Raw genomic sequence first — 27688 nt, forward strand, 5'->3', positions numbered from 1 at the left:
AGCTCGCTGCCTGTCCAAAAAATGCCTGGATTTGGACTGTTGGATGACAGAGAAAAAAACTCATATTTGAGGTCACTGGGGATTTCAGGGTTTCTCTATCACAAAAGTTATTTTAACTGCACAAAATCACTAAGTGATGTCAGAGGGAAATTATTAATTAGGCACAATGACATAGATGTTAAACGTGGTATGCTATTATTTGGGTTTTTAAAAAAGAATGTGCCTACATATACACTTCTATATGCTTGAGACGTCTCTGGAAGAAAACGCTAGAAAATAGTAACAGTGGGTGCCTTTGGGGAAGGAAACTAGGAGACAGGAAGAAAGGGGTAGAAAAGAGATTTATCTCTCACCGTATTTTGTTTTTAGCCTTTTGAATTTGTATCGTAGGCATATGTTAACCGCTCAAAAGTTACATTTAATGAAACAACTTTGTGCGGTGGCTCATGCCTATAATCCTAACAATTTGAGAGGCTGAGGCGGGTGGATCACTTGAGGTCAGGAGTTTCAGACCAGACTGGCCAACATGGTGAAACTCCATCTCTACTAAAAATACAAAAATTAGCACGGCATGGTGGCAGGTGCCTGTAATCCCAGCTACTCAGGAGGCTGAGGCAGGAGAATTGCTGAACCTGGGAGGCTACAGTGAGCTGAGATGGCGCCAATGTACTCCAGCCTGGGTGATAGAGCGAGACTCCGTCTCATAAAAAAGAAAACAAAACACAAGTTCTAAAAGAATCCAGTTTTTAGATCAGCAGGAGAATGCTTATGCACACTACTACTAGTCCCCAGGGCCTTTTTCGAAACCAGTGGTACAAAGTGTTGACATTTAAAAATACATAAAAGTGTACTTTCTTTGAAAACTCAAGGGAGGGGTAGCAGTAGCTGCTATTCCTATACTGCATCTGAATTCTTGGGGTTAACTTTCTCATGCTCTTAGAGACTCTCCTTTCATTCCAACGGCGACAGGAGGCTGATAGCAGAGAGGAGTCAGGGGTTGCTTCTTCTATTAGATCAATTTATTCCTAAATGTAGGTACCACAAGTCAACCACACACCTTCATAAAAAGGATTCTTGGGCATCTTTCCTGAAAATTCTAATTCAGTAGTTCTGAGGTGGAGCTCAGGAAACCAAATTGTTCACAAGTGTCAGTTGACTCTTGTGCTCAGGCACACTTGAGAAACCCTGTTCTCATTTGTCCATGTGTCCTCCCTGCCACCTTGGATAAGTTGCTTCACTTTCATATTTTATATCCTTAGAATACAGACAATGAGATTTACGACCTAGGAAACTCAAACGTGTCTGCTGAGACTAGGTGATGCCTGTGAAAATGGCTGAACCCCCTGCAAAATGACATTATATACAAGTGCCAATTATGATTATAATTACTATTGTTAGCTTGTGCTTTGGGGATTGCTATTTTGTGTTTTAAAATTCACTTTATCAAAAATACTTCATTTTAAAAAGAAAAGGTGGGATAGAAAACATGTCTGTGTTTCCGTGGAACACCTTTGTCAGAATTTCTGCTGTGTTGCTAGGTGTTTAGCAGGGAGTCCGCATCAGTGGGTCTTCCACCCATGACAAGTACAGCTGCTTCCAGAATGCACGGAGTGGGGAATAAGCCATAAGGGAAGCCCTGCATTAAGGTGAGTCCAGAGGCTGGAGCCAAGGCAGCTCAAACACAAGGAAATCCAGGCAGCAACTGGTCTATGGCAGACTGCTTTATGGAACGGGGGTGGATGCAAGAGATTCACTTTGCGTAAGAAGTGTCTTTATTTTTGTTTTTTTGAGATGGGGTCTCACTACATTGCCCAGGCTGGTCTCAAACTACTAGGCTCGAGGAATCCTCCCTTCTCAGCCTTTCGAGTATCTGGGATTACAGGCACATGTCATTACCCAAATACTCTGATGTGATCATAACGTAGTTTATGCATGTAACCAAATAGTACCTGTATACCATAAATATATACAAAAATAATGTATCGATAAAAATTTTTAAAAATTAAAGAATAACAATGATAATAATAAAAGAAGCGATAATGATAATAATAATGGGAAAGAAAGCTAACATCTACCATTTTTTTAAAAGCAGGAGAAATGTCTTAAGGAGTCTTAGGCTGGCCCTGGACAGTTCTATTTTCTGCTCAGCTTGCAGGTCTAGTCTTTATCTCTGAATATTCTAAGATCTTTGGGACTAAAAGGCCATCCAACCCCAACCCCTCAATGTTACTCAGAGTCCCTGATTGCAAATTTTTTCTACATCAATTATCCAAAAATAGAGAAAAGGGAAACTAAATAGATGCTTATTCCCTGGGAAATAAACTGAGTGGATAATAAAACTTTAGGTTGATTTGCTAAATTTTTAAAATATCTTAGGAGCAAACCTGATGTTTTCTAAGGAAAACTTTACTTTTTTTTTTAATCTAAAAGTTTCTCTGTACAACAGATTAGGGAGAGAAGGGATAGAGGTATTCAATTTAAATCCTAAGTTTTCCAGTCATCTTTTGGAAGAAACCCCAAATTTTAAAAGGTCAGGTCCAAAAAGGATAAGGTGAACATGATCTACTGTGATTACAATTGTTTCTTTCTTCTTTTTAACAACTGACTCATGTATCAAGTGCTACTTACATTTGTTTTCTCTTTTTTCATCATTCTCAAAAAAATGAAATGCTCTGGCTGCAATTTTATTATGAAATGTGCTTAATTCCAAATGGGTCCCATGCATTACACAGTCTCTTTAAATGGACCACCTAAAAGCCTGTGATGGGGATTTCTGGAGCTCATGGTAGCTGGTTCTCCTCCTTTTCTGAGCATGTGGGAAGACTTGCTAGGCTCTCAGGTAGTTAACTGGGAGTCATGTTACTAGTCTGGCCAATAGCCCATGAGAAAGAGCTGCTGTGAGTTCTCTGTATTCCCTTACCAGGCTGCACCAAACATGGAGGTCACATAACATAGTGGAGCTTCTGTCAGCCTGGGCCCCTGAGTGCCTAGGTGGAGCACAGCCTCCCCACTCTTCCCCTACGAACGTGAATTGGAAATATAGAGGGAATATTTGGCTGTACTTAAGCCAGTGAAATCAAGAAGGGAGCTAGAGGAGGGTAGATTTGTTACTGTGGCACAACCTTACCTTTTCTAATGCAAAGCAACTGGTTTGAAATCTCTGAATTCTACTCAGAATACTGGACTTGCTACTTATATAATTGGTAGACAAGTCACTTAATCTTTCTGAGCTTCAGGTTTTTTGACTGTAAAATGGGAACAATAATTTCTGGCATGTCTACCATTCACGGATATGAGAGGATCAAATGAGTTTTTCTGGAAGTGTTTTGAAATCTGTAAGTCAACTCTAGATGTAAAATACTAGCATTATTGCTGTGGATGTAGCTGGAGAAAAGGGGCTAAATTTCACTGCTTCTTTGGGGTCAGTTATTAGAATTCATTGCTTCATCGTTCTTAAAAAGTCGAGCAATACATTTCAGTGATAGATAAGGATCATGTAAAATCAAATTCTGATACCACTTGGAGAATAATTTGTAATCTTTAAAATGTCAGGGCTAGCTGAATGATTTCAGAAGCCTCACTTCCAACAAGCAAACTCAACTATTTGCCTTTGGCATAAAAAGAAAGGAAAAATAGAGTCCCCGAATGAAAGGTTTGGCACAAAGCCCTTTATTCCTCCCACAGCCTGTCAGAGTGGGAGAGGGAGGAAGGAACAGAGAGATTGGGCATTCCAGACTCCACCCCTGCACAAAGCGATGGGGAGCGATATACATTCAGGAGAGGTCGTACCAATCTATTCTTGTGTTTCTTTCACAGAGAAAACAGATTTCTCCACACAGGAAAGGAGAAATAGCAGAAATGGCCTCCACACAGATCTAGAAGTAGGGCAAGGGCTTGTGTTCCCTGCTGTCCCTGACAAAAGGTCGAGACACTCTGCTTCGAACCCAGGAGAAGGGCTTCCTGACCCTTAGAACAGATGACACCAATCCACACACACTGATTTGCTAGCAGTCCATTTTCACCCAGCTGCTTAGCTTGCTAGATATTAATAGTTGGCTTTTTTTGCACACTTACTAAATGTCAAGAAGTGACATTTTATATCTCAAGGAACTGATGCATAGCAAGGCTGAGCAACTTGTCCAACGTCACACAGCTGGAATATGGCAGAAACAGGAGTTAGGCCCAGTCTACTTTCAGATGCTGTGGTCTTAACCACTCCATTTCTAAGGAAGAAACAGAAAACGGAAGGAAAATGGGAGCAATTCTGTCACCTGCTAGATACCTTGCAATGGGCTTTAGCCACATTAACTCTCTTAATCCTGATATCTGTTCTAACATGATTGGCATTCTTACTCCATTTTACAGGTGACGAAGCAGAGGCTCAGAGAGGTTGATTAACTTGCCCAAAGTCACAAAGCCAAAATGCAGCAAGTTAGGAATCAAATCCAACCAGGCTCTGCTAGACTAAAGTGTGAAAGTTTGTGGCTGAAAATAAGCATGAGTTTGGGGAAGAAAACAAAATGTATTAAGAAGGCAGAGGAAACAAAGACCATGGGACGTATTTAGAAGCTGGTACCTCTGGTTCCTGAGAAAAACAACCCATCTAAATACAGGATAATGCCTGTTGGTAGAGTTCCCTTTATCACAGAGCCTTAGTGTTTACAGTGTTAGAAAGATGGTGAATCCAGTGTTTGGACCAAAGAATGACAGTCCTGCACATCAAGCAAATCTTTTTATACCCAACAAACGGAGAGTTACTATGAAAGTAGCCAACTGCTTTTTCTTTGGCTGTCTTTACATCTTCTCACTCTAAATTATTATGATCATTTACTTCCCCATTTCCAAAACTTATGAAGCACCAAATAATTATTAGTTGTTTTGTTGTTATTTTGCATCATTTGCTAGTCCACAGCTAAAATGTTCCCCCAACCTTAAGCTAGATAGGAGCAATGCAATTATGACACAGGAGCAAAAGAAGCTCATTAACATATCCGTGACTGACACAGAAGATCATTAATTAGGCATTCTGAGCATAAGTATATATGTATAAATTAGCATCTATTCACCATTTAAACTGTAAGAGATTTTTCATATCTGAATATTAACTATGTTGGAAAATTACTAAGTTTTCCTGAGTGAATTCCACAAACAATACCCATCCTTGATAACAAAAATAAAATGAAGATAAGGGATTCTATGAGCTGACCCAGACACAGTAGAGTCTAAGGACGTTATCACTCTTTATTTATGAATGTCTTCATTTATCCATTTCCTCTTTTTTGTGTTTCTGGCTACCCTCCTTGCTGGGTGTTTCATGTGGACCATCTTATATGGAGAATGTTTAGATGAGGTACTCCTGCTGACATTCCAGAGATGCTGTACCTCTCTCTGAATTCTGTCATCATTCATTCATTTATTCTTTCAATAAATATTTATTGAGTGTAACCTATGTTCAAAAGACAGTGTGGAGGATACCTACATGAATATGGCAGAGTTTCTATTCTCAAGAATTCATAGTCTAGCAGGAAAGATGAGACAGATAGTGCACTCATAAAGCTAAAAGGTTCGGTGTACAGTTACAATTGCCAGAGCCCAAACCCTACTCAGAAGAGGAATAGACTTCTGCCAGGGGGAAGACTGGGAAATGCTCCATGAGAGAGGTGGCATTGAAGCAGGACATTAGTGATCCTAGAAGAAGCAGATCTGGCAAATTTGGGGCATGTCAAGAGAGTCACTTATGCAAGAAACCAGAGCCAGATTGATGCCTATCTTCACGTTCAGGTCTTGAATTTTGTGCTACGTCTGTGGTCCATAGAACTCCACCCCCATTTTGTTTTAATGAGTCTGAAGTACTTATCCGTTTTCAGGCCTTCAGAAAACTACTAATATCAGGACCAAAATGATAATAATACTCTATTGTCCTTCACACATAGGACAATGATACTAATTACTTCGTAGAGCTTGTGCTTGCATTGTTATTCTTGCAATAGTATTGGACTCATGCCAGCACATCCATTGTTCTTTGTTGATTTTTCTTGCTACCAGTGGCATACTTTTGTAAAATGGCTATCCTGGGTGAGGGATGGGATTTGCAGTTCTGAGACCATTTTTTCTAGGTGGGGCTCACTAGTCTGTGTTGAGACTGAATCAAGGAGCGTGGTCTTTTGGGCATCAGATTATAACTACCTGCTCTCACCAACCACATTAGTTTAACTGATATGTCTTTTCTGGAGAAAGAACTAAAGCATTTTATTGAAATCTCCTAGATGAAGAAAGGCAGTTAACTGAGTAGCTTGTAAGTGGGGTAAAATCTCAGAGCTCTCACAGTTCTTGACATCTACCTGTAAAAACCAGGTAGCCCATAGATCAGTGCGTTCAAGGAACAGGCATGGAGTGTGGACCTTTCCTAACCGTCTTGATTCTGCATCCATGGAATTCAGACTATGGGGGCTTTCAGGCAGAAATCCTTATTCCAAGGCTTCCATAGCACTTTAGTTCTTAAAATGCCTTGGAAATGTTTCAAGACATATCTGCTTCATACTGGGTACTGCTCTATGGCAGAAAAGAAAGCTGCTTTCAAGGTGAGATTTCAGGTGTGCTCATGGAATTAAAAAACAAACAAACAAACAAAAACTGGCCAGCAGCAGTTTTAATGAGCATGTGAGCCTTTTCCGCCTCAGCGAGTGGCAGGTATTGAAGTTTCCGGGGCACTCTGGGTCCTGAAGGAAGTGAACAGCTTACCTATAATGGACTAATCTGGGAAAACATTGACGGTATTGAGGAAAGAACTATCTGGGATCATGACTGCTGATTTCTTCCATGCTGCTAGTGAAATATAAATGTATCTTTTGTTTGAGGGGCAGATTTATGTATAACAAGTATAAATATTCCATTTTTCTAATGCAAGTAGAACTTTTTAAGGTCATTAGTACCCATGATTAAAAGGGTAAGGAAATTCTTGACTTTTAGATCATTACAGGAGATAACAATGAATTCATTAATTAAAAAACTATTCACTAGGATCATGTTCTATACCCTACCCTGTGCCTGGCATGTCATAGACACAGACAAATTGAAAAGCAGAGACTATCATTTAGCTGGAGAGAACCACAGAGATCCAAGTACATGCTTGTCCTAGAAATTCAGAGGAAAGGAAAGCTCGTGATGGTTTGAGGTCATTCCAGAAACCCTACATTGGGGGAGGAAGGTATGGAGCTGGGTTTTACAGAAAATGAGGGAGTTACATGATCTTCATGACAAAGGACATAGCTTGAATCTTGGAAGTACACAGAGAATAAGAATCTTGCTTGGATCATCTCAATAGAAAATTCTCGAATTTCATTGTGTCAAAGAAGGAATATGAACATTCTGTCCTGTGCACTCTGCTGAAATGTGTCTGTTTTAAAAGATAATTGGCTTCAGCATTGCATTTGCCCCTTCTCCCTCACTACCTTTTAAAATTGGACAAAGCTCTTCCCATGGTGGTCTTCAGAGAAAAACAGAATCCTGGATTTTATGCTGGAGCTCCTCTGCTATACCAAGGGTAGGTTGGTAAAGCTTCACAGAAAGAGATGTTCTGAGCCCAACCTATGGAGACACGTTCCAATTTAGGCTGTGGGATGAAAATTACAGGGCAGCCACAGAGGCAAGTTTAAAATTAGGACAAACTTCTCTTTGGGTCTCTTAAGCCTCAAAGAGTTAGTAGATGAGGCAAAGGAAAATGGGGGAAAAATTAACAGCAGGAACTTGAAAAGCAAAATCCCCAGACTTCTGTTCCTTCCCAGGGTCCTCCTGACATCCTTAGCTTTTCTGCACATCTGAAAATCGGCAGAAAGAGCGGAGTCCCACAGCTGCTTCCTAGAAGCCACTGCTTAACTTTGGACCTGTGAGGAAAACCTGGTGGCAAATAGGTCAAGATAATCCTGGCTAAGAAAGAAGGAAGAGAAAAAAAAAATGAGGCAAATGTTCTTTAGCCCAAGTCCTTTTCCTCAAGTCTCTGTCAACAGTAACCCAGGTGACTTGAGTTCAAAAGGAGCCACAGGTGTCAGTCAGCCTCAAGTCAAGACCCAGGAGATAGCTCTGTTGGGTGCATGGAGCCTTCTCAGATGTGCTTACGTCACTGGTTCCAGTCTGGCAAAAGATCTGGGTTTGCAGGTAACGACCACCTCTCGACTGCACTACCAGCTAAGAAGCACTAGCCATCCTCCCTGAAGAGGTGGCCTCTCTGGGGAAACAACATGGGGGCTCTAAGCTGTGTTTTCTTCTTGCCTCTGCAATTTTGCCTGTTTCTCAAAGCTACTAAAAACATCACCTGCAGTTATCTTCTTTTGAGATTATTTTGACTGGATGCTTTTGTTTGTTAAGAGTTTGAACTCCTTCGAGGAATTCAATGATTACTAAATAGAGAACAAATTATTCCTACTTTTCCACAGAAAGAGGTGTTTTCACCTGAACACCAGATGTTTTCAAAAAGCTCAAGGGTATACACACTCAACTACCAACAAATACGTTCCATTAGATTATCCTGGAGTCGAAACAGAATGGGGGAGGACCCAGTCAATTCCATCATCCTGGCAAGGTCCCACAATGAGCCTGTTGTGGGCCCCCCTTTTTGGAAGTCATTTGTTAGGTTCACTTCCTGGGGACAGACTGTTTTAGATGTGCCTGGATTTCTAGTTCCGCATTCCTATGAGCCAGAAAGTAGAATACAATAAAATGTAGAAGAATGGCTGTTTTCACGTGTGACTTCCTTACTGATGATCTGAAGAGTATTTACAAAGTTTGTTAAAGGAAATGCCCATATTTGGTTATGTCACTCTTTGGAAAAAAGTTTTCAATAAACAGGAAGTAAAATGAGTCTCCAAATAAAGTATAAGTACATTCCTAACCTAATGCATCATGAGAACTAAGACACAAAGCCGGGCACGGTGGCTCACACTTGTAATCCCAGCACTTTGGGAGGTTGAGGCAGGTGGATCACTTGGGCTCAGGAGTTCAAGACCAGCCTGGGAAACATGGCAAAACTCTGTCTCTATAAAAAAATACAAAAAATTAGGTGGGCATGGTGGCATGTGCCTGTGGTCCCAGCTACTTGAGAGGCTGGAGGCTCAGGTGGGAGGATTGCTTGAGCCCAGGAGGTCAAGGCTGCAGTGAGCCAAGATCATGCCACCGCATTCCAGCCTGGGCAACAGGGTGAGATCCTGTTTTTGTTTTTTTTTTTTAAAGTTAGACACTTTAGAGGGTTATGGCTTATCTAAAGTGGTGATGTTAAACCTATAACTTTCTCTGTCCAGAGAGTTAATAAATCAACTCATCATATCAGTGGGCCTTTCTCAATAGGTGTTGCCGTTTAGCCTACAAAACTCACTTTGTCAGAGCTATTTCAGCTCAAGTTAGAGCATAACTAGTTAGACAACTTGATCTCATTGAAATATTTGGTGCCTGCTGATATGTTCAAACAAATTCACCAGATCTTGATTATGTTCTGGCAATTAAAGCTATTAAGTCAGTAGATAGACAGCAGGTTATTTCATTGCTGGTAGAAAAAGCCAGCTTTCTTTTCTCCCCTTTTTATGTGACAGCACTGTAATTAGCCTTAATCAAATACTATTTGTGTTAGGTGCTGTAACTTTGCTTTCTTAGCCAGGAAACTCTGCCAATCTAGGAAAAGTAGAAATACAACTTCGGTCAAAAAGCAAGAAAGATAGGGATAGGGTATTTGAGAACTCTCTGTGCTATCTTTGCAACTTCTCTGTAAATCTAAAACTGTTCTAAAATTAAAACTTTAATTTTTAAAAACCAAGAAAAAGAGAGGAAGAGAGGAATGAGAGAGAGAGGCTGTTGAAAGTGAGGCTTCAACTGTAGCAGCATAACATGTAAAAGCAAGCTTTTAGAAGTAGTCAATTCATTTAGAAAATATGGTTCCTCTGGAAATTCCAGGTTAACCCTCTTGTTACATGGGGGAATGCCTTGGTGCTTCTTTTTTTTACCACTGCAAATAAGTATGTAATGGAGACTACAGCCAGGTAAAGGGAACGGCAATAATCATGAATAAAACTGATTTTTTTTTTAACCATTCATCCAAACTTCTAGTTTATTTTTCCGTGTTTTAAACCCACCATTTCTTTTAACATCCCTGGAAGAAAGAGCTCTTCAGATCGTTTTGGGAATGAAGTTAGTGAAGAGGTGAGGCAGGGTTTCTCAAACTTTAATGTGCATACAAGTTGGGTGCAGTGGATCATCCCTGTAGTCCCAGCTATTCAGGAGGCTAAGGCAGGAGGATAGCCTGAGGCCAGGAGTTCAAGACTAGCTTGGGCAACATAGCGAGACCCCTTTGTCTTAACTAACTAACTAAATAAATAAACAAACACACAGACAAATCTCCTAGGGATCTTGTGAAATAACACATTTTGATTTGGGAGGTCTAGAATGGTCCCCAAGATTGTGTTTGTAGAAAGCGTCTATTTGATGCCAAAGCTACCGGTCCACAGACCATAGTTTGAGTAGCAAGGGTACAAAAACTAGTAATTAAGTAAGTGCAACTGGCCAGAAGTAGAACCATGGTATCTTGTCTACGTGGCCGACAATGAAACATCGGTATGAAGCAGTTGCCAACAAACAGATACTCACTTTCTATTTTCCTTGGCCAATAATACCTTGTGTCAAATTTTCAAAATGCATTGGTAAAATGGCATTATACCTTGGGTCAGACTATTAGCTCAGAGAATCCCAATAATGGAAGTAACTATTCTTGTTCAAAGTGCCCCAGCCATGATAGGGAGGCATCAGAGACAATTGTAAAAGCAATGATCTGATCTTTATTTATTATTTGGACTCTATGTTTCCTCATACCTCAAATTCTGTATCTGTACAATATTAGCAACTAGAACTAGTAATATTTTGAGTTTAAGGAAGAAATGTCACACAACTCTTAGAGCCTCCCAGAGGTACTCTGTCATTTTAAGAGATGATGATGGCTATGTTCCACAGGAGACAACCCTGCCATATGGCTGACATTCACTTGACAACAATATGATTCATTTCACTCCATCCAAAATGGTAAGATAGGCCATTAATGACTTTGAATAACTGAAAAACATATTTTTACAGGCATGAGCCACCGCACCCACTGAAAAACATATTTTTAAAAATACCTTTTGACCCAGCAATCCCATTGCTGGGTATATACCCAAAGGAATATAAATCGTTCTACTATAAAGACACATACGTTTATTGCAGCACTATTTACAACAGCAAAGACATGGAACCAACCCAAATGCCCATCAATGATAGACTGGATAAAGAACATGTGGTACATATACAACATGGAATACTGTGCAACCATAAAAAGGAATGAGATCATGTCCTTTGCAGGGGCATGGATGAAGCTGGAAGCCATCATCCTCAGCAAACCAACACAGGAACAAAAAACCAAACACCACATGGTTCTCACTCATAAGTGGAAGTTGAACAATGAGAACACATAGACACAAAGAGGGGAACAACACACACCAGGGCCTGATGGGGGATGGGGGTGAGGGGAGGGAACTTAGAGGACGGGTCAATAAGTGCAGCAAACCACCACGGCCCATGTATACCTATGTAATAAACCTGCACATTTTGCACATGTGTCCCATTTATTTTTAGAATAAAGAAAAACAAAAATTAAAAAAAACCATATTTTTTACAATTTGTGGTAACTGCCACAAATGCCACATGTCTAGTTCTCCACCAGGTTTTTTACTCCTTTATACAATGTTTGAATTCCAAACAATGGTCCTTTTACTTTATTTATTTATTTATTTTTAATTTTATTTTCTGTTTTATTGGTACACAAGAGATGTACTTCTACTTATTTTAGATTTCTTCCATATCTTGATTAATGCAACTCAATTAGGCTTTAAATCCAGTGGTATGCTGGCAAATAGCTAACAACCAGCTCTCCAGGAAAAGTAAAAAAAGAAAGAGAAGTCTTGGTATGTACCTTTGGTCAATTTTGATGATGTAAATACTCTCAGCATGGCCAATTTCAAGTACCAACTTGGCTTTACCGAATATAAAATTAGGAAGAAATGTACATAATCACAAGTCTGCTCCAGTACATAACAGCAAGTGACCCCAAAGACATAAAACATTGTTGTTTTAATAATTAAATTACAAAAATCTAGCAGGGGTAAAAGTATTCTACAATTCCAAGACAGCTTGTCTCTTAAATTGCTTTCACTTTGTTACTGAAAAGTAGAAGTCCATGAGTGTTTTTATAAACCCAAAATAACTCCCTGCTAGTTTTTTTTTTTTTTTTTAATGACAGTCTCATGATCTGTGTAATTACCACAGAATCTTATAAGCCATTTGGATTTTCATGACACAAACATACTGAAAGTTTGGAATTCTGTATGAACTTGAGAGTTGAACCTTTCCATTTTTGTTTTTTCCTACTATTATAAGCTCTCCCTTCCGTAAGTATTAGGCATGGCTCAGGCAGCCTCTGTGGCCATAACAATCTGCAGAAAATACTAAAACATCACCATGTTTTAAAATGTTCCCTACAATTGCCTTTGAGAATGGCAGCTTAATATCTTCATGTCCTCTCCTATATCTGAACTGCTTTGCTTCAATTTTTTAAAAAGCTGTCTTATGTTAAAAAGGACAACAGAATGAGAAAACTGCAATTGTAGCCAAAATGTTGTAACAATGGTGTGTTTTATGCACACTTAACATATATAACTGTTTCTAACACATCATTTCTTCATTCTATTTTTAATCTATCTGAGATTCTTTATTAAACTGTGTTTTTTATATTTTTAGTCACAAGTACACCTGCTTATTACCAGTGAGGGTCTTTTTTATTTTATTTTTAGAGAAAAGAGTGTCTTGCTATGTTGTCCTGGATAGCCAAGAACCCCTGGGCTCAAGGGATCCTCCCGTGTAGCTGGGACTACCAGCACACACCACCACTGCCAGCTCCAGTGAGGTTCTTATAAGAACACAAAAGCACAGAAGGCTACAGCTCACAGGATTGGGGGAAGGGAGGGCACTGGTGAAAAACTATCTGGCCAAGTAATATAATTAACTTGAAGAAAAACATTTGCATCATAACTATACTTGTGTCTTTTTCCATCAGCAAAAGCCAAAACCAAGCAAATAAAAAGCCACCACCATTCACCCACCACCTTGAACACAAATGATTTTGGCAGTGCAGTCAACATGAAAAAATACTGCTTGAAACAAACCAAGAAAAAATTGCTTCCAATCAAGTCTTCCTGCTTGCTTTCATTGTATTCACTTTCATACCATTTGAAATATGTATCATGTGTACCTGTTAACTCTTCGAAAATGAATCTTCTAAAGTCTTCCAATTTTTTGAACTTTTCTTAAAATTCATTTTAACCGAGCACCCCACTTATGATGAACACGTTAGGTTTTAACACATGCAGAACACGGCACAGTACACCCCCTGCCATTCTCCAGATGTTAGGAACTAGAAACATGCAAGGATTTTTCATGTTAGAAAAATGGTGAAGTCAGCTCATCAAAGGTAAAACAGGCAGAATATGTCCCTGCCTTTGCCTTTCCTAAGATGCATTTACATTCACTTGGTTTGTCTCTAGTTTGACAGGATTATTAATAGGATGGGCTTACCACTCATGTAGATGAATCTCTTAGCCACAGAAAAGCCTTTTACTATCTTACGTGTTTCTGACCGATGCCTGATGACTCTACCAGCGGATCTTCACAGTAACCAGAGATGTGGGCTAGTGATCAGTTACAGAGCAAAATTGCTAACATTATTGTCACTAAATTGGAGTCCAGCATTATTTTAACAAATTTTTTTTACATCAACGAGCAGTCTTTGGTTAACAGGCTTTAAGAATGACAAAAATACCCATCATGAAAGGAAAAAGTGTTCACAACACTGGACCTTCTTGAATGACTGCGATACAGCCCTCCTGACTTCCCACTAATCAAGTGCACTAGCCCTCCTGGATATAAGCTGAAGCTACATCAAGAACTAAAAAAGAGACATGAAGAATAAAGATCTGAGGGACATAGACATGAACATGGACATACATGTACACATAGATATATTCTGGTAAATAAAAGAATATTCATGCCATTTTTAACAATTGTGAAGAAATTTAATTATACTTAAAGTAAGGATCAAAATTGAAAAAAGTCCTAATATTAGAAGAATCAACACAGCAACAATGGAAAAGAGAGGCTCTTTTTTTCTCTGAGGGTCACTTCATAAATATTTGGGAATTTCTCACTGCTAAGTAAAAAGAGGAGAAGCAGATGATGAAAAGGAGGAGTTATAGGAGTTCAATGAAAGGCAGTCGCCCCCTCAAAATTCACAGCTCTTCCCTGAGGTCACCTTTCTGTCTCTTCACTGGTGCCCTTCCTGTGGGTAGCATGTGGGAAACAGGGGAAGGAAAAGGGATTGAGAATCAAGCTGGCATTAAAATACAATCTTACCCTATTTCCCTGTGGCCTACAGTACTCCCCTTTTGAAAAAATAACGTGGAAAAAATGTTGTTAGTTTTCTTTTTAAGGGACACACACACACACACACACACACACACACACACACACACACACACTCTATTCTTCATCCCCGGCAGTTTCCCAAATGAGATCTGCCATCATGAGGTTGCATACATAAGGCGGTGAGAGAGAGTGTGCCTCTCCTGCCAGGCCTGAAGAGTTCTTGAGGGCATCTAAAACTGAAAGCTTTTAGCAAAACACAGATGCAAGCAAATTACAAAATCATAGTGTCTGCAGGACTGGATTCTGGTTGGCACAGGTTTGGAACTGATTTTTTCAAACGCCTGGACAAAGGGGAAACAGCCTCCCTGCCTCTTGGCCAGCCCTGTGCTGCATTCAGATCTCACTCTGTATTGTTTTCTTGCCATACTTGTATTTAAAGTCAACCTCTGTTTCCCAACAGACACCCCCACAGATACACACCCTAGGCTCCACATGACTTTCAAGTCACGTTAGGGCATCTGTCCTTCCTCAAGAATCTGTGAAAAGTGAGACCCTGTCTCAAAAAAAAAAAAAAAAAAGAGAAAAGAAAAGAAAAGCCAGGTGCAGTGGCTCATGCCTGTAATCCCAGCACTTTGGGAGGCCAAGGCGGGTAGATTACCTGAGGTCAGGAGTTCGAGACCAGCCTGGCCAGCATGGTGAAACCCAGTCTCTACTAAAAATACAAAAATTAGCCAGGCATGGGGGCACACGCCTATAGTCTCGGCTAAGTCAGGAGGCTTTATACAATGACATTTTTAAGTCAGGAGGCTAAGGCATGAGAATCACTGAACCTCGGAGGTGGAGGTTGCTGTGAGCCAAGATCGTGCCACTACACTCCAGCCTGGGCAACAGAGTGAGGCTCTGTCTTAAAAAAAAAAAAAAAAAGAAAAAAGAAAAAAAAAGAATCTGTGAAGTGTAGACCAGAGCCCATATGAGGTTTATTTGCAATTGAAGTTAAACAACACTAGGGACTCAATTTGACCCCCATTACCTGGCTGCTTTATCTTAGTGCCTCAGTTTCTCCTTGGGTCAAGAATGTTACTAATGACCCTTGGCAAGTCAGCAGGCAAAACCATTCTTACAGTAATAAGTTTGATGACTACATAGTGCTTGTTACAGTCCAGACTTTCTCTAAGTGCTCTTTCTGTATTAATTTACTTAATCCTCACAAACTCCCTGAGGTGGGTTCTGTTAGGCCCATTTTACAGATGAGGACACTAAGGCACAAGGAGGTCAAGTACTCTGCCACCTTGAGAGGAAGAACAGGCTTGAAATCCTGTAGTTCCACTCCAGAAACCAGCTCTTAACTACCATCTCTCAGTAAGAACTTTTTCAGCATACATGACCATTTAAATGCCTTCATTTGCACACACTTTAGTGGTTGCAGGGAGTACAGAAAGCAAATCCCACCGCTGATGTCTGGAGGACAGAGGAGGCTGTATCCTACCAGCATTTTCCAGTCCCAGGGTAGCAAGCAGAGCAGCGTGCTGCCCCAAACCTACCTGGAAGCACTCAAGTGACTATAGCCAGACCTGACAGAAAACACAAGCAGAGCAAGAGAAACAGAAGTAGAGGGTGCCGGCCCTCCCATCCCAGCCAGAGTGGGAAGGGATGGAGATGGAGCAAAGCCAGCCAGCCAGTGAATGGGAGACCTGAGGTGAATGGTCCAGGAACTCAGCACTGATCTTGATAACCTGCAGAGGAAGGAGCTTCCTGAGTGGAAGGGAGGGAAGGTTTGCAGTCTCCTTCTCCCCTTTGCAGACCCTCCACTGCATACCAGATAATGATGGGCTGACCAGGATTTGTAGCACACTCCCACCATCCCCGCCGTGGGATAGGTAGGTAGGTAGATAGAGAGGCAGGGCACGGGAAGAGAGACAGACTGATTTAAAATACTCAAGATGGAACCAGTCACTCCTCACTTCACCCCTGCTCCCTTCTACTTCCCCACATTTTTGCATCAGAAAAATATGTTTGGAGAAATGAACACACACACACACCCTCTCTCTCTTTCTTCTTTCAGCACATTCTTTTGTCAAGGACCTTTATAAGCATGAAGAATTTCCACATTTGATAATTTACAGCAAACTTTTCATTTGGGTATTAAAATGTAGACATATGAAAAGCTCCCTGACACCACTTCTGGCAATAGTAACATATTTATGTAAAAGAATTCACAATACAGATTTTATGTTAATATTCCTTAATCTTTACTTCTTGCATTTCAACTTAACCTCGCTCATAGGAAACAGCTTCCAGACTCCCCTTCAAATATTCATAGGGCCTACTGTAGATGAGAAAAGCATGCTCTACCTAAACACATGCCTCCCCTATCTATCTCCTCAACCTCGCTGCCACTATAAACATTGGCAGCCCTGACTATACCGGCGATTCCGCACCACTGACTCACAAAAAAGTGTTTCCAAGGTGAAGCACCTGATGGAGTAGACACATGTTAAGTAACATATTGGAGTTCCTAAAATTTTGATAGAAATATAAATAAATCAAGTTTTCAGACCTTGATCTGCCACTAACATCTGACCTTGGGCAATATTCAACAGCATTTGATGAAGATTTTTCATTAACTACTGGGTATGAGGTCAGTGGGTTATGAAAGATACAGTCCCTGCCTTCCAGATATTTGCCATCTAGTGAAAAAGGTAGACATAGAAACACGAGCTGCAATCAAAGCAAAGTACAACTATTGTCAGAGAAGTCTGCAAATGAGTGTTGTGGAAATGCAAGGAATCAATAATTAAATTGAACTGAGAGGATTAGAGCAGGCTTCACGGACAAGGTAGCATTTGAGTAGAGCATTGGATGAAATTAGTTGGATTTTGATAGGTGGAGAAGATGAGCAAGAAAACACAAGCAAAAGCTGGAAGTAGGAAATGCTTGGCAGCACACAAAGGCAGGAGAGTAGCCAGGGGGATTGAAGCACAGTCTGTGGAGGACTATGGTGACAGGGAGGTAGATGGTGGCTCTGAAATCATGGTAGGGACTTTGGACTTACTGTGCAGGCAGTGCAGATCCACCCAGGGTCTTAAGAGGAAAATGGAGCATGGGTTTTAAAAATGGATCAGACAATCAAGAGATTAGTAAGCAGAAGGTGATTAGGAGGACGCCCAAGCAGTTTAGGTAATAGATGATGAGGAAAGTCATTCAATTTCAGGGACTTAGCACCATCTCCTTTTCTCCAAATGAGGGAACAAGGTCAGCTAGAGAAGCAACAAGCCTAAATATCTTGAGGCGGACTTAGGGGCTCACTCTCCTGAGGTTCTAACTGCACCTGGTACATGATCTTCATCACAGCAGCTCCCATTGAATTTTCACAGTTCACTTTCATGTCTGTCTTCTTACCATTAAAAGTGCCTTATAAGCAGGGCCTATGGCTTTTCACTGTTTCCAGAGGCCTAGAAGAGCACCTAGCATATGGCAGTCAGTCAAACATCCCAATCATGCTACTCTATTTGTTTTGATTTCCAGAGAAAGATATGGAATCGCCCATAATCACAGATGAGAAAATAAAAAATCCAAATTTCCTGTCTCTACTGTTAACTAGTTCTGTCTTAGAACTAGAAAGCCTTAGAATTATGATATGTGTCTATGTATTAAGGACCGAGGGGTTAGTTTCACATTCTTTTCATATCCCAGTTTTCCTTTCTAGTTCTCAAAAAGTGGAACCACCAGCTTCCAACCTCTTTATCTCCTCTAATTACTAACTCTTCTCACTGAGTTATCTCCTCTAATTACTAACTCTTCTCACTGTACCTTCTGGGCTACCTAAACTGCACTGCAACTACAACTCATCACGAGCCTCCCAGGCCCCTCTCAATCAACTCTCATTTGGTGATTGTGGACTAAACCACAGAAAGTGTCCAAAGGACTCTCTTTATCTCCAGCTCCACAGATTCTGTTTCAAATGTCAACTTCCCTCAAATTCTTGGCTGCACACCAGGTATAACTATATTTAATGATATTGGTATCTGAATGAACACAACAGAACCTTAGAGAATAAACCCTCAATATTCATGAATTCCCAAATTCAGAAATACAATAGCATATAATTTGCCTTGTGCTTCATAATATAAATATGACTGAAAATGTAAGGGATCTCCTCAACCCCTAATGACTTATTTCCCTCTTAAGGAGTGATTTTTGCATTAGTCATATTTTGCTCTGAAATAATTTTAATTTTTTTTCTTATTTTCATATGGTAAATTCATTCATGGCCATGACTTAACCACTCTTTAATCTGGTCAATACTTCCATTTTCTGGGTTAGGTAGAATTACTTTCTTAGTCTTCTTCACTTCCATCTCTGATACTAGCACTTGACTTTCTTTGGGGAGCCATTTCTAAAGAAGACACCTTAAAAAAAATCACAGTGTGAGCATTCCCTGGTCCAGACTTGGAATGGACCTTTCTCATGGCCCTATGAGATTGGGAGGATCAGCAGTGGGCGTGGCTCATTCACTAGTGGACCCACTTGCTCTCAGAACCCATTTTAGCTTGTAAATTCAAGATTCAAATTTATGCTTTGGCAAAACTACAGATTTCTTTCTATCTCACACTTTTGATGTTCTTTTAAATACACAAAATGCTTTTCTTTTTTTTTAAAATTTCCAACTTTTAAGTTCAGGGGTACCTATGCAGGATGTACAGGTTTGTTACATAGGTAAATGTGTGCCATGGTGGTTTGTTGCACAGATCATCCTGTCACCCAGGTATTAAGCCCAGTATCCATTAGCTATTTTTCCTGATCCTCTCCCTCCTTCCCCCACCACTCTCCACAAAATGTTAAATCTGCAAATACCAGGTGTCTATTAAGGAACCAAATAAATCTTGCCCTCTACAGTGGTAGCCACATTGGGCAACATTTCTAAGGTTTATTATAAAAATATATCCAATCCTTTGTTCAAAATGTCCTTGAAGTTCAACTTTGAAATGACCATCAGAACCAGTTTACAAGCCTTATCAGAAAACAGAGGCCCATGACTTTATAGTCACATTTTGTTTTTGACTCAGAGATGCATCACTCCATGTGATCAACAACCACCTTAGCCACTAGACTTGGCTCCTTATGCTTTTTTCACTTCCTGCAAAGTCAAGCCACTAAAATAGTTGCCACCAAATAACAGTAATAGCAAAAGTGTGCTAAAATGAGAGAAGGTTTTGGGAAGATGGCAATGTTCCATATCATAATTGTGATGGTGATTATACAAATGTATACATTTATCTAAACTCACAGAAGTATGCACTGAAAATTAGTGAATTTTACTTTATGTAAATTATACCTCAATTAAAAGTTTTAAATTGTGAATTCTGACGACAATTTGCAAAGAGGAATTATCCATATCTTAAGTATGAAAATAAATGAATGAAGCTTTTGATAATTCTAAAGGAGCAAAACAATAACAATCATTTAGATTAGCTAGAGAACTATACACTTATAAACAAAATACAACACAGAATACATTACCTAGATTATGCACCAAAAATACCAGGTATTTCATTTTCTCTTTCAGATGAATATACTACCTGGATTCTCTTTCAGTAAGACTGTGTTTCTGATGAAGTTCATTGAGCCATTTACATTTTATCTTGGATTTGTGACCACTGATATTCAGCTGTTGGATGACTACTTAGAGTAAGAATCCAGTGTTTAGCCATAAATCAAGCTACTTGGCTCATTCAGGTGTTTCATCCTTCTTCTTAGCATAGTGAAATCATGCTATGGTCAACTAAGTTAAGTGACCCAGTCATAGGGCCAGGCCGTGGGTCACTAATATTGGGCTTTAAAAGAGTTCTCTAAAACCAGCAGGATTTCTCCAACAAGTCATTTCAAACCTCAGGAGCTTTGTTTTGGCTGCAGTGCATGAATAGCAAAGGCAGGCTGAATTCGCTTTCCCTACTTCAGTCCATTGTTTAGGTCACATGCAGGCCAAATTCAAAACAGTGCTGAATCTATCGGCGAAGATTAAAACACTGGAAAGTCATTATTGATTCGTTTGGGCGGGTCTACGTCGTAAAGGTTAAGTGTAGTAAGTGTAGGTTCTGGACCACAGACTCTTGGAAACTCTTTGTTTCCTTGAGCAGTTATTACTGGAAGGGAGCCTTGGCATCACCCCCACAGGGAGCTATATATTCAAGTCAGGCCCCAGTCAGGATATTTCTTGGTCAAAGGATAAATGAGGTCTCCTAAAATAGTCCTGACAGGCCACCAACATCTGTGAATACCACAAGTTCACACCTGTAATCAAAACCACTTATTCTCCAAAAAACAAAAACAAAAACCAGCTCAGAGGATGGGATGCTGCCACAATTGTCTCTCCCTTGGAGACAAAGAATGGTCAAAAACCACTTGCTTTGATAAATCTTGCTGAAGCAACAAAAATAGCTGTGTCATGCAGAGATGATAGAATTACCTTTCACCATTACATCAGAACAAAAACCTCCAAGAAAGGCAAAATTTCTCATTCTCCCATCTAACTACATTCACAGGCAAATCCCTAAAATTCAAGCCAAATTACATACAAGTATTTTACATAGCTTTTTGCATTTAGAACATCTGTTAATTCAAAATGTGGTTGATGAATTAACGGCCTACAACGTTCCTTTAAAACCAAACCACCTAAAAATCAATTTATTCTTACATTTAATAGTTTTTTTTTTTTTTTTTTGAGACAGAGTCTCGCTCTATCACCCAGGCTGGAGTGCAGTGGCGCTATCTCGGCTCACTGCAAGCTCCGCCTCCCGGGTTCACACCATTCTCTTGCCTCAGCCTCCCGAGTAGCTGGGATTACAGGCGCCCACCACCACGCCCAGCTAATTTTTTGTATTTTTAGCAGAGACAGGGTTTCACAGTGTTAGCCAGGATGGTCTCGATCTCCTGACCTTGTGATCTGCCCGTCTCGGCCTCCCAAACTGCTGGGATTACAGGTGTAAGCCACCGCGCCCGGCCATTTAATTGAACTTAGTAAGTGTCTGTTACATGAGTACTATGTTAACCACTATTATAGGAGATTTTGGAGAAGTATAAGGCATGTTATCATTCCTTAATGTACTTATAATTTCATTGAGAAAGGCAGTGTACACATTAAACAGCTAGTTGAGCGAATTTGGCAATATCCTAAACATTGCTGGGCTTCTATTTCCTCACTGGTAAAATGAAGGAGTCAGAAGAGATGATTCCCGAGACTCTTCTAGGTCTCAAGTTCTATAAACCTTTCAATGCCTACGTAGAAAACAATCCAAGATAATATATGGTGAAGTCCAGATAATATATGGTCAAGTCCATATATTATATTGTATTTATTGATAAATAATCAATACGATAGGAGGTCAGAGAAGAGAGAGATCAATTTTGAGGTGGCAAAGGTTTTCTGGAAAAAGAAACTTCAGCTTGGACTTGAAGGACGGGTAGAATGTGAAAGGGGCAGGAGGTGGTCACTGTTTACTAAGAGTGCAGAGGGCTTGTGCAGGGTGACTGGAAAAATTCTTGATTAGGGACAGGGAAGATGAGTTTGTATTTGTCTCTGTGGATAAAGGGATTATATGTTGTCAAGTGGTGGATTTAAGTAGGGGAAGTGATATGACGACTTGGTGACATGATCCTATTAACCTGCAAGTCAGATCACACCATTCTCTTCTCAGAGCCATCCAGCAGCATCCCATCTCTCTCAGATAAAAGCCAAAGTCCTTGCAAGGGCTTGCAAGGCTTTGCAGCATCTGCTTCTTCCACCCCTATCAACTGTCGCCTTATGTCCTCCTCTCCCACACCAGCCTCCTCAGAGTCTTCCTCATATACCAGGCACACTTCAAGCATTTTCACATGCGTTTCCTCTGCCTAGACTGCTCTTTCCTCAGGTATCTCCATGTTTGGCTACTCCTTCATGTAATTGCTCAAATGTCACTTTTCAGTGAAGCCTTCCCTATCACCGTATCTAAAATTGCAGCCTACCCTTTCCATACACACAGGCTCACACATGAACACGCGTGCAGGCATGCACACACACACACCCCATATACCTCCTTATCTCCCTTCCCTGCTCTACTTTTTTCATTACATCTACCATATTCTACCATGTGATATGATTTATTTACTTTCTAAAATGTCTCTATCCACTGCCCTCCTCCCTTAGGTAGTATAAACTCCATGAGGAAAGGGGGTTTTGTCTGCTTTATTCACTGCTGTATGTCTCAAGCCTAGAACAGTGTCTGGCCTAGAATAGGGGCCCAGGAACTATTTGTCCAGTGAATGAAGGCATGAATATAATGAAAAAGGTGTGAAGTCATTAACCTCACAGATTGAACTGCAAAGTGGAGGGCCTAGAGGTTATGAAAACTTGGACTAAAGGAAGGCAATGGGAAGAAAAAAGGAGCTGACTAGGAGAGACTTCATCAAGAAATAACAACCAGGGGCTGTTAACTATCTCAGTGTTCAGGCCTGGATTAAAGGAAATATATTCACCATGGGAATTAGGAGAATGTTAGGGGCAAAAGAGGAACTGAAAATGTACTGAAAATAAAATGATGCATAGTTTTATAAACAAATATCAGTCAGATTTAACTTCAGTTGTTTCCAAACATAATTGATTGCTATTTTCTTCCTGCTTACATTTCTGAGAATGGCTAAAAGGAAACTAAAAAAGAAGGAAGTGGGAAATGTGTAACGTGCCATACTTTCCTTTTAAGGCAACTTCAGCCTGAATGCTGGGCAAAGCCTCCCACATTTCACAATTTGTTCTCTATCAGCTCTCAGGAACACAAAATACAGGAAAGACAGATCCTGTTCTTCTGGTTTTTTTTCTTTTCTTCTTCTTCTCTTCATTATGTTTTCTCCTCCCCCAAAAACAGTAATCAGAGCAGATGACAAGAAATCTTTTTAACATCAGCCTTGGTGTAATAAGCATCTTGGAAATGGAAAAAGCAAGAGGGGATGTGATGAAGTCTTTACCAGTCTGTGCAGATGTTAAGACTTTACTAGAGCCACAGCAAGAAAGTACTATTTATGTCAGGTTAATATCTTATTCATACATTTCTTTAGAAATTATGAAGGCATAGTACATTAACATCCAGTCATCCAATATTACTTAGAATCATAGGTGATACCTTCAGGAAAAAAAAGGTGGATGATCTTATTTCCTGATTGAAGAAATCTCAAGTACAGTTGAGAAGCCATATGTGGTTAGTATGTACTTAAGATATGAGCTTTAAAAGCAAGTCCTACATTTCTGCAAATTCAAATTTTACTATTACCTCTTTTAAAATTCAGTGTTTTTTAGAGGCATTTGCTTAATTAAGTTTGATTCTATACTTATTTTTCTGCCTTTTAAATACATACCCTAAATTAAAACTAAATCAGTGGTTCTCAACTAGGGTGATTTTTTTTTCCCTCCAGGGCACATCTGGCAATGTCTGGAGATAGTTTTCACGACTGTGGGGAGAAGAGGGTGTCACATCCATTAAACAGAGGCCCAGGTACTATGGTCTGAATGGCTGTATTCCCCCAAAATTCATATGTTAAAACCTGATCATCAATGTGCCATATTAGAAGGTGGGGCTTTTAGGAAGGGAATCAGGTCGTAAGGGCAGAGCCTCATGAATGGGATTTGCCCTTATAAGAGTTCCTGGTGAGCTGCTTCGGCCCTTCCACCAGGAGACATGCAGCAAGAAGGCACCATCTATGAACCAGGAAACAGGCCCTCACCAGACACTGAATCTTGATCTTCAACTTCTCAGCCTGCAGAACTGTGAGAAATAAATTTCTGTTGTTTATAAACCACCCAGTTAATGGTATCTTGTCATAGCAGCCCAAATGGACTAGGGATGCTGCTGAACATCCCAGAGTACGCAGGACGGCCCCCGCCACAGAGAAGAATCTAATTTAAAATGCTGATAGTGCCGAGGGTGAGAAACTCTGGCCTAAATCATCTCTGATAGAGATCCCCAAATTATGATAAAGCAATAACCATTTTAGTCCAAGTGTGTCCTTCACATAAGACTAAGGAGTGGAAGAGTGGAGCTCTGCAAATTGCATTGTTTAAAAATGCAGTCAGACCCTACTTTGGAACATTCTGCCCTTACTGGTAATACTAATTATGAACATATAGATTAAGTCTCCAGATAAGAATTAAAAGGATGTTCTGGCCAGGCGCGGTAGCTCACGCCTGTAATCCCAGCACCTTGGGAGGCCGAGGCGGTTGGATCACCTGAGGTCATGAGTTCGAGACCAGCCCAGCCAACATGGTGAAACCCCGTCTCTACTAAAAATACAAAAATCAGCTGGGTGTGGTGGCATGTGCCTGTAATCCAAGCTACTCAGGAGGCTGAGGCAGGAGAATTGCTGGAACCCAGGAGGCAGATGCTGCAGTGAGCCAAGATCTTGCCACTGCACTCCAGCCAGGGCCACAGAGTGAAACTCCCTAACAAAAAAACAAAAAACAAAAAACAAAAAAAAAACAAAAAAAGGATCTTCTATGCTCTTTTCTGTTCCTACACAGAAATTACAGGAAATTCATCACAGAATCAGTGAACACCAAAGCTGAAAGGGACTGCAGAAGGTAGCACAATGGATCCTCTCACTTTACTGATGGGAGGGGAAGTGGTGCAGACTGAGGTCACAGTCTTGCTTTCAGGCCCCAGCTGGTCAGTTTCAGAGCTTGGATTAGAATTCACTCCATCCCTCAGGTCTGTGCTCCTTCTCCTTGACTCGGAAGCAAATGTGAAGAATGGAGCCCAAGAAGGTTACAAAAAAAAGTCTTTGGACCAAAGTCTCTCTCTTGATTTCAGCCTCAAAGGAAGTGAGCTAATGTGGAGATGCATGGCACTCCTGGCTCCCCATCTTTGGGAGTGGTGAGCCTCCCAAGCACAGGAAGATTCAGCACCAACTCTAGCTGCAGATCTATCCCAAGGCCCAGATTGCATTAGCCAAGACCTCTCCAGGAAGCCTGTTGGAGTGAGCAGAGAAGAGCCTCAACAGGTGGCAAGTGGTCTCAAGTGCCACTTCTCTCTGAAAGGAAAGTCCTGCAAAAATGAAAATCTGCAAATGCTTTAAAAACGAGTGGCAGAGGATGGCGTCTCTGCCCTTTCTCCTCCTGGGTAAAGGGCAGTTGACCCTCACTATGTCTTCCAAATGCCTCCCATGACTTCCCAGCATCAACCACATCAAAAAAAAAGAGAGAGAGAGAGAGCACACAACTGCGCTAGGCATTCACAACATTCTCTTCCTTCAGGGGCTCCAATCTGGGCCCTGGCAGGTTATCAAAGAGACTTGGGTCTCTTTGTCCCCCATCCCTAATCTGTCTTGGTGTCTCTCTTTGGCCCTCCCATGGATGACATCCCCCCCAGAGACCTTGCCAGTCAGCCTGCCCACCTGGCCTCCCCACAGAACTGGCTATATAGCAGGAAACGGATTTGCCACTTCTCCATTTCCAGATGGCACTGAAACAAGTACACATCCTCCTTTCACTTTCAAAGAGCTCTATGACTACTTTCAAAGAGCTCTATGACTACTTTCAAAGAGCTCTATGACTAGTTACCTTAGAGAAACTGACAGAACAAAGGAACAAGCCTGCTTATGTGGTACTAGTAAAATCATAATATCAGCCACTACTTATGAAGCATTTTGTATGTGTCCGGCTCTGTATTAGGTGTTACACCTGCATTATCTACAAGCCTTTCATCAATCCTGCAAGGAAAGTATTAGTTTTACTCCCATTGTAAAGGTGAGAGAACTAAGGATTAGAATGATTTGAGACCACAGAACTTGTAAATAAAATTTTAAACATTTTGGTCTAAGTTGCCTTTCTCTTCAACATGCTAGAAATGAGTCTAGACTTACCTGGCTCATAGCTCCCTCTTTAGCTCTTTTACATGGCATTCATTTAAACATGCCTTCTCACATTTTTCTGCTTGGAGGCAGAGCTTGTCCAACCACCCCTCCATAGACACCACTGCCTCCCAGCTCCATTTGCCCCTGTCTGCTGAGCTCCTTCTATACTGTCCACATGTGTTCTCTAGTTGCTGCTTTAGCTCTATCCATGCCCAGCCACTAACAGTTGGGTTAGTGGTTGCTACGGTTTGAATGTGTCCCCTCAAAACTTCAGGTGTTGCCAATGTGACAGTATCAAGAGGTAACAGGGCCTTTAAGAGGCCATGAAGGCTACTCCCTCATGAATAGCAGTAAGGCCCTTATAAAAGAGGCTTCCCACAGTGTTCAGTTAGCTTGATCTTCTACCTTTCTGCCATGTGAGGACACAGTGTTCCTCCCCTTTAGAAGATGTGGCATCAAGGTACCATCTTGGAGACAGAGAGTAGCCCTCCCCAGACATCTGAACCTGCTGGTGCCGTGATCTCGGACTTCCCAGCCTCTAGAACTGTGAGAAAACAAATTTCTGTTCTTGATAAATTACCCAGTCCTGGGTATGTTGTTACAGCAGCACAAAATGGACTAAGGCAGTGGTTCTCTGGAACAACTGCCAATAGTAAGTAGGAATATCCCATTGTCCCACCCAGGGTCTAGGTGAGTACGGACAGTCTCAGGGCTTGACTGAGCACTGAGCTATTTTCTCTCTGGACTATCTTACTATCTGTTTGGCTGGCCTGCTACAGAGCTTCTGGGATCTGGGCTCTCCCTTTATGCATTCGGCATCTTCCAGAGGCCAAGCCCAGCCCGGACTCCAGCTAGCTGTCTGGAGGCCCTAGTTCAGACAAGCCTCTTTATCTTAGGGCTTGAGGCCTGGCTTCTGGGATCCCTCATGTCATCTGGAAGAAGGATCCTGTTGGCTTTACAACCTCAATACCCACAGACAATAAAGACTGGGTCCACTCTAAGAATCAGTTGTCACCCTCCACCTTGATCCCTGAGAAAATTCCCTTCCCCCACCCTCTGCATACACACCTCCTTTGGCCATTACTGTGGCCTTATTTTGACTTGATTTTTTCCCCCAGTCTCTGAAGCTTTGTGAGAGTTTTGGCTAAGACATCATCTCCCTAGCCTCCATTCCTGGTTTAGACCCAGGCTGATTTACTTCTCTACATGGAGTCCAAACATATTAAAAATCTAATGCCCTGGGCTACCCTGATTGTAGTCTGCTCACCCTCTAGATCCCGGTTAACTTAGGAAGACTCATAAAGGTGCTTTTAGTCTAATGATCGAG

The 27688-nt window shown here is 40.9% G+C and overlaps 1 protein-coding gene across 3 annotated transcripts in view, besides 2 other annotated features; it reads right to left on the bottom strand.

Moving 5' to 3' along the window:
- Positions 1–27688, bottom strand: part of MAML3 (mastermind like transcriptional coactivator 3) — a 437432-nt gene that overhangs the window by 236163 nt on the left and 173581 nt on the right. The gene's annotated exons all lie outside the window — the stretch shown is intronic.
- Positions 10230–10429: a silencer, noted in NCBI's record as "fragment chr4:140884299-140884498 (GRCh37/hg19 assembly coordinates)". NCBI's record gives its function as "represses an EF-1alpha promoter that drives an FKBP-Casp9 reporter gene in an ReSE screen in K562 erythroleukemia cells {active_cell/tissue: K562}" and the evidence as "EXISTENCE:reporter gene assay evidence [ECO:0000049][PMID:32094911]".
- Positions 26190–26239: an enhancer, noted in NCBI's record as "active region_21932". NCBI's record gives its function as "activates an Ori minimal core promoter by ATAC-STARR-seq in GM12878 lymphoblastoid cells {active_cell/tissue: GM12878}" and the evidence as "EXISTENCE:reporter gene assay evidence [ECO:0000049][PMID:35858748]".

Source organism: Homo sapiens, chromosome 4, assembly GCF_000001405.40.
Source record: "Homo sapiens chromosome 4, GRCh38.p14 Primary Assembly".
NCBI classification, from domain to species: Eukaryota; Metazoa; Chordata; class Mammalia; order Primates; family Hominidae; genus Homo; species Homo sapiens.